The sequence below is a fragment of the Homo sapiens genome, chromosome X, assembly GCF_000001405.40.
Source record: "Homo sapiens chromosome X, GRCh38.p14 Primary Assembly".
NCBI classification, from domain to species: domain Eukaryota; kingdom Metazoa; phylum Chordata; class Mammalia; order Primates; family Hominidae; genus Homo; species Homo sapiens.
The window spans coordinates 139,742,858-139,755,151 of NC_000023.11; the positions used below are offsets into that span (position 1 = coordinate 139,742,858).

A 12,294-nucleotide genomic window follows, 5' to 3' on the forward strand; every position below is an offset into this window, starting at 1 on the left:
TTAAATTAAAAAAAAAAAAATATATATATATATATATATATATATATATATATATAAAAATAGAGACAGGGTCTTGCTATGTTGCCCAGGCTGGTCTTGAACTCCTGGGCTCAAGCGATCTGCCCACCTTGGTCTCCCAAAGTGCTGGGATTATAGGCATGAGCCACCAACCTGGCCATCAGTGATGAAAACATTTTATAAGATTTCACTACTACCAAGCTCTTTTTCACATATTATCTTGCTCATATATACCTATTTTAGGCCTGGGGTTCTTAAACAGAAGTATAATTTTTAGAAGATTCAAGTACTTAACATAATCACACACACACACACACTCTCTCTCTCTCTCTCGCTCTCTCTCTCACTCTCACCCACAGCCTGTTTATATGCCACTTATCATAACGCCTTAAAAACAGCAATAAAGAAGAAACAGATTTTCGACATAAGTATGGTGTTTGAATTTTTTTAAGTAAAACAATATAAAGAGGATTACGATATACTGGGGAAAAAACTGATCAAAAAATAGTATACAAATACCCAAATCCCTAGTATCATACACATTTTAGTAAGTATTAAGGCAAACACTTGAATAACAACCCATAACAAGAAATAAAGGAGACAAAAAAATGGTATATTAGGATAAGACAAGAAAGTATTATAAAAACAGTATTAAAAAATACATGAATAAGTAAAAATCTAACCTTCAGGGTTACAGTGAATACTAAGACTGTAAAAACAATGGTTCCAAAAGTCCAGTTTCCGTATACCTGAAAAACATTTAATAATTACATGTACCATGTATATACAAGTATTATCTTAGTATTTTTTCATTTAAAAAAAAAGCCAAGTTGAATCCTGTGTGTAAGTGCCAAATATTTTTGTATGAATTGTTTAGGGAAACAGCTAGTCAGTAAGATCAGGCCACAATGCCAGATTTTCCTGTGATCCAATTTTCACAAAAAGGTACACCACACCTGTGGCTGGTAGGGTTTATTTCTATTACTCCATGCAGCACTGAAGAGGGAACTCACTGTTGTGATAAAGGCCAAAGAAGGCAACTACTCTACTAACAGCAATGTTCATCAAAACAAGTCATTTGGATGATTCATGTCTCTAAAGAATTTGATATGGGATTTTCCTATAATATAGAACTAAACCTCTCAAATGAGCAGTAATTTATAGACAAATGGATTCACATTTTTTAAATGAGTCTGATTTTTTTGGCTGTAAATACAAGAGCTATCAGCATGTGCACATCAAAAAAAAAAGCAGATACCATGTATAAATCCAAATGATGGCAATGAATGGCACATATGCTTACCAAATGCTGTCAAGATCTGAATGCGTAACATTAAAACAGAAAATGAGATGTAAAAGGTTTTTTCAAAAAAATAAAAACAAAAATTAAGGTTAATAGAAGCAAAAAAAAGGATTCACTCAAATCATACATGAGTGTTATGTTTTGTTGCTAAAAGTAATTCATACACTTACTGTAATTTCAGCAAACATTTAGAGGGATGGTGACATATACAGTAAAACCTTATTAATTTGGACTTTATGAACTCAAAATGGGTAATGAATTAAACAGACGCTGAATTGATGCTCTCATGCACCACCTGGAAAGTTTGCTGAGCAAATGAATCACATCGACTATAGGAGAGTATCTGCCTACTTTGGAGCAAACTCCTTTTAAGCAGTAGCCAGCTACATAAAATCTGTCTGCCAAATAAAACTAACATAAAAAGTGAAAGCTGCACAATCAGTTATAAATCTGAAGAGGCCAGGAAATCATAAAATCAAATCCATTCTTCTTACTGATGGGCAAAACTGACCTGGGAAACTGATGTGATTTTCCCAAGTACTCACAGGATTTAGCAGGACATTCTCTTTGGCAAGTTCTACATGTGACTACTTTAAAGCAGATCTGTGTTTCCCCAACAAGTACTTTATGATTAATAATTTTCATGGATTCATACTAAACTGATTTTTGTTAGTCCAAATTAGAGAGGTTTTGACTGTAGTGCCTAATTTTAAAGTACCATTCAAATTCACTGAACCTATTACTTCTGTAACAGGTGTTACCAGGTTCCAGACATAGTATCCTCAGTAAATTCTTTTTGAACCTTAGCTTTCCTTCACATTATGATTATAAAGAATGAATGACCATAAAAGAAGAATCTCAGAAATAGCAAAGGAGAACTTAGTGAAAGCAGTATGCAAGGTAGTGTTTTTGTTTTCCTATTGTGTGGCTGCAGAAAAAGGCCTCAGCTGTCCCCGCCATCAGTAATTTTCTCCTAGAGTACAGCCAGGGCAAAATTACCCCAGTGCAACTGCTGAATGAGATAGTCATGTTCTGGGAAGACACTGGCAGGACCAGAATAGCCTTTCTGCAGAATACTGTGCTTCCATTGGGAAGAGGAGGGAGAGAAGAGAATTCCTCTCTTCACATATTGGGCCAACACTCCAAAGATATGGCAGCTACCCGCTTCAGCTCCAAGCATGGAAGGCCACTATGAGTAAAAACTGAATGCGGCCAGGCTTTACTTTAAAATGGGAAAAACCTTTCTCACATCAAAGAGCAGGAGTCTGAAGTCCCAAGAACTCTGTTCATCTAGTAAAAATTACAGCCAAGTTAAGGTTCCAGAAAGTTTGCACATAAGCTCTCTAGTTAGCCATGCACAGAAAGTGATTTCTTATTTCACTTCTATTGTTCTAAAGAAGCTGTGAGAACTAACTACTGTATCTTCAGAAAAAGTTTGTAAAATGATTACAGCTAGAGTATGTATATGACAAATCCAGCACCTATGGGAAAAAGACAAGCCATGCTTATAATACCAAAAGATGTAATGACAGGTTCTTTTTACCTTTCCATTTTCTTCTAGGGATGCAGTCTGAAAAAGAAAGTAAGTCCCAAAGAAGAACACTGTCCCTTCAAAGGCAGCCAGAAATGTCCAATATAAGAAGGGGCCCAACTGTAGCATGGCATTGCCAGAAATTTTCCTATTGAGAAATGGGGGGAAAAAACCATTAGTGAAACTTTTCATTTAAACATACAGTGAAATGTCAAAGGTGGGCGTGGAATTTGACCCTGTTATAATGAAGGGGGCTACCCTTAATGGCCTGACAGATTTTTGGTAAAGGGTCAGACTGAGCCAAAGGCTGACCTTCATGCAATCATCTCCTGACTCAGCCACTGGAGTAAACTCTCTAAACTCTTCCAAATTTTTGGTCACTGACAACAATAACATCAATAATAATTCGCTTCCATTTAATGGTACTTATATACCAGGAACTGGGTTCACAGTTTTACAGACATTATTTTTATCCACATAAAAACATGAGATAGGTATTACTACCACTCACATTTGCTAATAATAAGGAGCCTCAGAAAGGTGTAACACAATGGTACCCAAACTTTGATGCACTTTGGAATCCCCTGAGGATCATTAAAAACTACTAATGCCTGGCTGCCATCTTTATTCTGATTTAATTGGCATAAGGTATAACCTGGAGGTCAGGATATTTTTAAAGCCCACCAGTTGATTTCAATGTGCAGTATAGTCTGGGAACCACTAGTGTAGCAGCCGTGCCAAAGTTCACTTGGTAACAGACTGAGCTAATATACAATCCTGGATTGACTTGACTTCAGAGCATATGCTCTCAACCAAGCTACCAAGCTTTCCAAGAACAATTACAATATTTATTTTAATCAAGATTTACTCCTGGAAATTTCACCTTTTTTTAGGTCTTACGGTGCCCTTTATATTTTTCCATCAAGTCAAATAACATGTTTGCAGTTGTATAATGATACTTTGATAAATGGGAGGTGGATAGATTAAGTTTAAATCTGTCAAAAATAGCACAACCTTCTCAGCCTAAGTCAGAACGCTAAATAAGGCTACCAATTCTAATGGAGCAGAGCTGCAGAAAAAGATGGGTTGGTGCATGTGTTTCTTTTGGATTCTATTTCAAATTGCTCTTAACATTTAATAAATGATATCTAATTACTCAAATAACATACTTGTCGCTAATACTACCAAGAATGTCACTGGGCTGTATCAAGTAAGAAACACCTTTGTAATATAAATGCAACTAATCCTTGTTCAGTTGGTATTGGGTACTGTGGGGCTTCGTGCACATGGCAATTATGCAACTTCTACCTACTAGGGTTTCCAGGTACATGCAGCGATCTGAAACTCAGGGTATGCTCTCTGTCCTAGAAAAATGGCAGAATGAGGTAGCTGCTTCCCAGAAACAAGCTCTCCCTATAGCCAGTAAGTCATGTTTCCAAGGCAACTAGGAACCACAGGTAAGGCACCTCCGTAAAGATCCTTGCAGGCAGTGCCCAACAACTGCCAGCCAATGTGGCTTTTGACAGTCACTGACTTGGGCTGGGGAAGAAAGGGCAAAAGCAGGAAGTAGTTCCTGTCTTTACAGACCATCGATGGGAATTATATCACATTCAGTGGGGGAAAAGAGCAGGAGCAGCATGATATGTTGAATTATAGGTCAGGCTTTCTAGCTGCATTCGAATAAAGAAGCTGTCAAAAACTCAGAATGGGGCAATCAACATGAAGGACAGCATGAGAGAGAATCAAGATCTGGGGAGAGGTTGATGAGCAGCAAAGGCCTGAGCACCTCCGTATTATGGTAGGCAGCAGGTATACCAGAACCCTTTCTTTTGCCTTTTAAAGCTGTAGAAGAAACAAATTACACCTGTTCCCTCTATAGAAAAACTAGTTTATTTCTTACATTTCTCTTAAAAATATAAAAGCATCCAATTATGTCATCTCACATCCAAGTGTTTGGTAATACCCAAGTCACTAAATCACCAAAGGTAAAATCTATAATACACTACACAACGCCACTGCTAATATTAATTGGCATACTGTACAGAGAGCCATATAGGAAGACCAGGGCTTCATGTTCACAAAAGAACAGTCAGAGTAATGAAACTATCTACAGTCTGGTGACAGGCCAAGAGCAGTGTCTTGTCAGAGCAGGCATTCACAACTTGCAAGTATGAGATCAAAAAGGAAAGCCGCACTTTGGGCTCGGCAATAGGTATGCCATGGCCTTTATTTTTGCATCAGATGTGGCAAGTCTACGCAAAATTCAATAAATCATGACCTACACCTAGCACAGTCACTAAAACCTTATGGAAACCCTTATGATATTTTGTACTCAACAGCTTTTTGCAGATTTTTCACATTCTTAATTTATACAAGTGTTCAGCACAGCTCTGAAGGCTGGAGGAGGGTGTTAGAATAATAATAAGATTAATAGCTATCATTGCTTGAAAACTTGTCAGGCACTATTTTTTTTAAGTTCTTTAATACATAGTGGCTCATTTACTCCTCACAAAACCATTGTGATTAGGTGCTACTGTTGCCCATGTATTACTGAAGGTGAAACTGAGGCACATTGCAGTAACCTGGGTAAGGTCACCTGGTAAGTAGCAGAGGCTTTCAGCCCAGGTGTTAGTCTGAGCTCTTGGTGGGACGGAATGGGAGGAATTCTGCCTACTACTCCTCAAACCCCATTTCAACCAGAGCAACTGCACTATCGGGCTTCACTTTAGAAGTTGTCTGGAAACAACTACAGTTAAAACAATGTTTTAAAACCACTGGCTTGCTGGAAAAAGCACTGGCAAGAGGGTTGAATTCTGATCTTCATTTTGCATCTGGTTGTACCCTGTGTCCTTAGGTAAGTCATTTCGGGGCCCTGGTTCCTTATTTTCAAAAAGAGTGTAGTAGGAGCTGATGCTTGTAAGATTTCTACCAAAGTTCTAATGATTCTCCTCTACATCTAATTATGCATTTACAACAAATATAGGATCAGCAGAACATGTAAACACCATGAAGATGCAATCAGCAAACTCTAGACTGGGAGAAATTTTACAACATAAATAATCTGGTTTTGTCCACAAATAAATTGCAAGGTTAACCTAAACATTAAAAGAGACTCAGAAAGTATATAAACCAATTGCAATGTGTGGACCTTCTTTAGATCCTGATTCAAATAAGCATGCTATGAAAAGAAATGAGTCAACTGGAGAAATGTGACCATTGACTATTTGATATTAAGGACTTAAGTGATAGGGTATTATTATTTTTAAAAATCCTTGTCTTTAAGAGATGCATAATGAAATAACTGTTTTTGAGATTTACTTCAAAATAAGCCTGTGATAGAGCAGACGGGGTTATCAGTGGAATAGGAATGTCAAGGAATTGAGAGTTGTTGAAGCTGAGTGGTTAGGACAAGCTGAGTGGTTCAACAACTATTTACATTCATTCATTATATAAATAGCATTCTCTCTACTTTTATGTATGTCTGAAATTTTCCTTAATAAAGACCTTTAAAATGATAAATTTCACAACTGTGTAATTCTAACAATTGCTAAATGTAAATTTTATGAGTCATGCTGGTTAAAAAAAATCCCTTAAATTTGTGTATCTTCATTTCATACAAATAAACCATCCAAACCTCTCTATTGCACTTGCTACCTACTATTTAGCAATGCTTACAATCTGCTATAAATTAATATCTTTATCCTTAGCTGTAGGCTACAATTCTAAAAATCCAATTAAATCATAAGTTAAACAACTGGGGCTAGTGCCAAGTCCCCCATCCACAGAGAAAAGCATCCATTTTCAACTGACACAAAATGAATACAATGGCTTATGAGTCCATTATTTTCTTCAACAGTTTTAGAATGGGGCTAACAAAGGTGGGGTGTGGGGCGGCTAATGCTATGGGTGCAGTTTACATGAGAAAGGGTAATATAACTTCATCAGTTCAATCTACAACAAGTAGGAATCAATATTCTAAACTACAGAAGATCTTTGTGTATGCTTTTTTTCTTTGCAGTTAAAATATCATGTCTTCCCATGAGACACTAGAACACTATGACAATATAGTTTCAAGTTTTAGGAATTAGTGACTCTGAACTAAATGTTTCACATATATTCAAGTACAGAACCCACACCTAGGAAATATGTCATTTTCCTGTTGAGCAGTCTGCTTTCAATAGCTAAAAATTCCAAACAGAACCATATAATCATACCACAAACCAAGTGCACAGTTCTGTGTTCTTCCCATCTGCAGATAAAATGAAAATCACAACACTGAAAGTCTTAGGGGGTTTTAACTATATATTTAACTTACATATACAATCGGGGATCTGAGGTCAGAGTGTCAATGTTGATGTGCTGTTCCAGTAGACTATAGGCCAGGATGGGCAAGGATGTGAAGCAGATATTGTACATTGTAAGGTAAGCAGCATCATACAGTGGCTAAAATGAAAAACAACAGAGGAAAGAAAGAAATTTCATGTAACAATCATCTACAAGATGATACTTATGTATGTGAAAAACTTACTAGCTAAAATAAGAAATTTTTTTACATGCTTTTGGTAGTGGCAAAGGAATCTGTAAATAAGGTCACTGCCTAGTAACTATAAAAAAGAAACTAACATATTGTGATGTGTCACATTAATACACCTCCCCTTTAACAGAATCTTATTCAGAATGTTTACATGCTATAAGCTGCATTTCTAATAGACATGAACAACTTTTCAAGATTGCTTAGTAGCTAAAACTAGCTATTCTGGAGTTACTTCAGCAAAGACCATTAAGTATAAGTGAGGAATCCTCAGAGAAACTAAATACAGGCAGCAGCCAGCCTGTGTCACAAATGTTTTGGTTAATATTTTACATATTTTTGGTTAGTATTTTCAAGTCCAAATTGTGTAAGTCTTTTCTAACATCCTCTTCCTGAGAAGTCCCACAGTTCCTCATGGCATGTGTTCTTCCTTCCTGAACTGAGTAATAAACCTAATTTGATCAACTACAAGTGTGTTCATGGGGGTCTTTGACTGGAGAACTTGGACAATCTTGAGCTCCTATAACAGGACTTGGCATACAAAAACAATCAATAAACACTAGATGAATAAATGAATGAGGATAGATCGGAAGCTATAACATTTATAAAGGCCTGCTCTGATATTATAAATCTTCCTTTATTGAAAAAATTTAAAGTATTCTATGAACCTCATTCTGATGAAAGCATTTACATCAGTATTTATCTACACAGTGCTAAAGATTGTCAAACAAACATTTTCTGTGGCCTGAATAAATAATTCCCCATACTCATATGTATTTTTCACATGTATAAATGTCCCTTAATAAAATGCATTAAACTATGACACAAATTAACAAAATAATGTATTTTCAATCAATGGCTACTAAAGATAATTACAAAAGGCTGGGAATTACTTGAATGGTGCATTAGTTAGTTCACTAGTTGACTTCAGAACATTTACCGAGTGCCTACTAAATGACAAGTACTAGGGACAGAGACGATTCCTCCCCTATCCACCAGGGAGTTCAAATTCTAGATGGAGAGGCAGAATGAGAGGTACACAGGGAGCTGGGGAAACCCAGAGGAGGGGACTACAACTCTGGCTGGCAGGAGAGACAAAGCAAATGATAATGGATGCAACATTCTCCATGAAGTTAAAAGACACTTCCAACGTACTTTCTATAAACAAAGATTTAAGCTCAGCAAAGATATTCCACTGAATTAAGAAGTACAAAAAAAAGTGTTGCATTCCTTTTTATTTTCAAAGGAGAGGACTAGTCCGTGGCACATAACACCACATTTTCTTTGGAAGCTACTCATTTTCACTAATGAGTAAATTTAAAAAATACAACTCAGATTGACTGGTGTGTCATTTAGTCTTGAATTTCATTCAAACAAAAGAAGCATCAATCTACTTTTGTTTCACTATGGTACTTTAAAATCACATGACAGATAATTGTAATTCTTAGGTACATAATTAGAAGAGACAGAATATCCCCAAAACAAACAGATAAAGTTGATAATACTGCTTTTTTATGAAACCTGTTACAATGTTTCCTTTTCATTAAAAAAAAAAAAAAGACATTTAGTATCCTAGTTTTGCTAAAGAAAGGGAAGCTTTTTGTGTAAAGAATCTGAATCCTGGTCCATTTCTACATTCTTCATAGTCCTCCTCGCAAGTTCCAGAGAATGCCTAATGTGCTTCTGGACTGAAAAAGGCTGACTACTCAAAGGTACTCCAAAGATATTTGCAATAAAGGTTGCTACATTCAGCACTAGCACAAAACCAAAATCAAAAATAAAGATTTTGCACATCACATTACCTCCTGAGCTCTCCTGGTACTCTTTTACCTTCCTTTTACCTGGTACACTTTTCCTTTAAGATGTCGACGTTATTCCTTCCCTTACCTCCAGGTCTCTGCCCAAATGTCACCTCATCAGAGAGACCTTTTCAGATGTCTAAAACGGCAGCTCTCTCTCTCCCAGTCACACTCTATCCCTTTATTATGCTTTCTTTTTTCCATCATAGCATGTATCAGTACCCAACATAATATATTTGATTGTTGTCTTTCACCCTATCACTACACACTGCAAGTTTCATGGGGGCAAGGAAGTTTATTTTGATCACTGCAATATTCTCAGCACTTAGCCTGGCACAAAGTAGGCAATCAAGAAATAGTTGCCAAATGAATGAACCTACCAGTTGAGCAACGGAAGGAGCCAAACATCAACTCCTATGGAACCATAAGCAGTTAAGGTAATCTAAGAAGACTGAAGACAATCCACGGTTTAAATCTCAGCTGGCTTTGTAAGGAATGAGTCCTTTTTCCCCTAAAATTTGTGCTTGGTAAACATATTTTAAAAGGATAATACAGCAACAGACTCCTTTCAAAATGAAAACAATATTTCCACCAGAACAAGCCAACTTACCTTTAGCACACTGCTACACATTAGTTAAGAGAATTTCAAATATACTTTTAATACTTGCATCCATCCAAGAAAGTAAGGAATTAGCAACATTTTGCTCAATAGCAATTTGAATGTTCAAGAAAAACAGATTGATCAGAACTTACGAAACTCTCTAATACTATTAATTTTGAATACAAGAAGGTTGATGGCACTTCCAAAAACTGCAAGATGCTTAATTTATAATGAAAGATTATCTGCTTAACTGGCACTACTGGGCTAATGACATGGCACTGATGTAAGAGACAGCATACCAAATAGTAAAAAGGCAAATTCAAGAGAAAGAGACCAGTCATTCCCATTGAGAAGAATGCATTCTCTTAAAAATACTGCCAAAGAGACTTCAACACCCTACTGGCAGTATGAGACAGATCACTGAGGCCAAAAATTAACAAAGATATTCAGGCCCTGAATTCAACATGTGACCAAATGGACCTAACAGACATCTACAGAACTCTCTACCCCCAAAACAACAGAATATACATTCCTCTTATCACCACATGGCACATACTCTAAAATCGACCACACAATTGGACATAACAATCCACAGCAAATTCAAAAAAACAAAAATCATACCAACCATACTCTCAAACCACAGAGTGATAAAAATAGAAATGAATACTAAGAAAATCACTCAAAACCATACAACAACATGGAAATTAAACAACCTGCTCCTGAATGATTTTTGGGTAAATAATGAAATTAAGGCAAAAATCAAGAATTTCTTTAAAACTAATGAAGAACAAAGATACAACATACCAGAATCTCTGGGACACAGCTAAGGAAGTGTTAAGAGGGAAATTTATAGCACTAAACACCCGCATCAAAAAGTTAAAAAGAGGGCCGGGCACAGTGGCTGAAGCCTGTAATCCCAGCAATTTGGGAGGCCAACACAGGCAGATCATCTGAGGTCAGGAGTTCAAGACCGGCCTGACCAACATGCTGAAACCCTATCTCTAATAAAATACAAAAATTAGCCAGGTGTGGTGACAGGCACCTGTAATCTCAGCTACTTGGGAGGCTGAGGCAGGAGAAATCACCTGAACCCAGGAGGTGGAGGTGGCAGTGAGCCGAAATCACGCCACTGCATTACAGCCTGGGTGACAGAGCAAGAGAAAAAGAAAGAAAAGAAAGGGAAAGGGAAAGGGAAGAAAAGAAGAAGAAAAGGAAACCAAAGAAAGAAGTTAGAAAGAGGTCAAATTAACAACCCAACATCACAACTAGAGGAACTACAGAAACAAGAGCAAACCAACCCCAAAGCTAGAAGAAAACAAGAAATAACCCAAATCAGAGCTGAACTGAGGGAAACTGAGATGCAAAAAAACCATACAAAAGACCAAGAAATCCAGGAGATGGTTATTTGAAAAAATGTAATAATATACATAGACCATTAGCTGGACTAATACAGAAAAAAAAGAGAAAATTCAAATAAACACAATCAGAAATGACAAAGCAGATGATACTACAGATACAACAGAAATACAAAAACCCTGAGAGACTACTATGAACATTTCTATGCATACAAACTAGAAAACCTATAAGAAATGGTTAAATTTCTGGACATATACAACCTCCCAAGACTGAACCAGTCAGAAAACCAGAGATTTCCTGAATCCCTGAAAAGACCAATAATGACTTCAAAAACTGAAAGGTAATAAAAAGTATACCAACCAAAAAAAAAGCTCAGGACCAGATGGAGTCACAGCCAAATTCTACCAGATGTATAAGGAAGATCTGTAGCATTCCTACTGAAACTATTCCAAAAAAATTGAGAAGGAGGGACTCCTCCCTAAATCATTCTATCAGGCCAGCATCATTCTGATACGGAAACCTTGGCACAGACACAACAACAACAACAAAAAGAAAACTTCAGGCCAATATCCTTGATGAAGAAGATAGATGCAAAAATACTCAACAAAATACTAGCAAACTGAAACCAGCAGCACATCACAAAGCTAATCCACCATGATCAGGCAGGCTTTATCACTAGAATGCAAGGTTGGTTCAATATCTGCAAATCAATAAATGTGATTTATCACATAAACAGAACTAAAAACAAAAACCACATGATCATCTCAATAGATGCAGAAAAGGTTTTCAATAAAATCCATCATGTTAAAAACTCTCAACAAACGAGGCACTGAAAGAACATTCTTCAAAATAATAAGAGCCATCTAAGAAAAACCCATAGCCAACATCACACTTAACAATCAAAAGCTGGAAGCATTCCCTCAAAAACCAGAAGACTAGGATGCCCTCTCTCACCACTCCTATTTAACATAGTACTGGAAGTCCTAGCCAAAGCAATCAGGCAAGAGAAAGAAATAAAAGGCATCCAAATAGGAAGACAGCAAGTCAAACTATCCCTGTTTGCAGACAATATGATTCTATATCTAGAAAACCTCATAGTCTTGCCCCAAAAGCTCCTTGACCTGATAACTTCAGCGAAGTTTCAGGATACGAAAT

At 36.8% G+C, this 12,294-nt stretch overlaps 1 protein-coding gene across 20 annotated transcripts in view; it reads right to left on the reverse strand.

The window, feature by feature from the left end:
* The window catches only part of ATP11C (ATPase phospholipid transporting 11C (ATP11C blood group)), a 210,556-nt gene that overhangs the window by 16,510 nt on the left and 181,752 nt on the right, over positions 1–12,294 (reverse strand). For all 20 annotated transcript variants that reach the window (XM_047442018.1, XM_047442024.1, NM_001353810.2 and 17 more), the window contains 3 exons: positions 7,168–7,295; positions 2,865–3,000; positions 702–767 (listed from right to left, as the gene is read on the reverse strand). In XM_047442018.1, the coding sequence (XP_047297974.1) occupies positions 702–767; positions 2,865–3,000; positions 7,168–7,295 (330 nt within the window). The remainder of the gene's footprint in view (positions 1–701; positions 768–2,864; positions 3,001–7,167; positions 7,296–12,294) is intronic.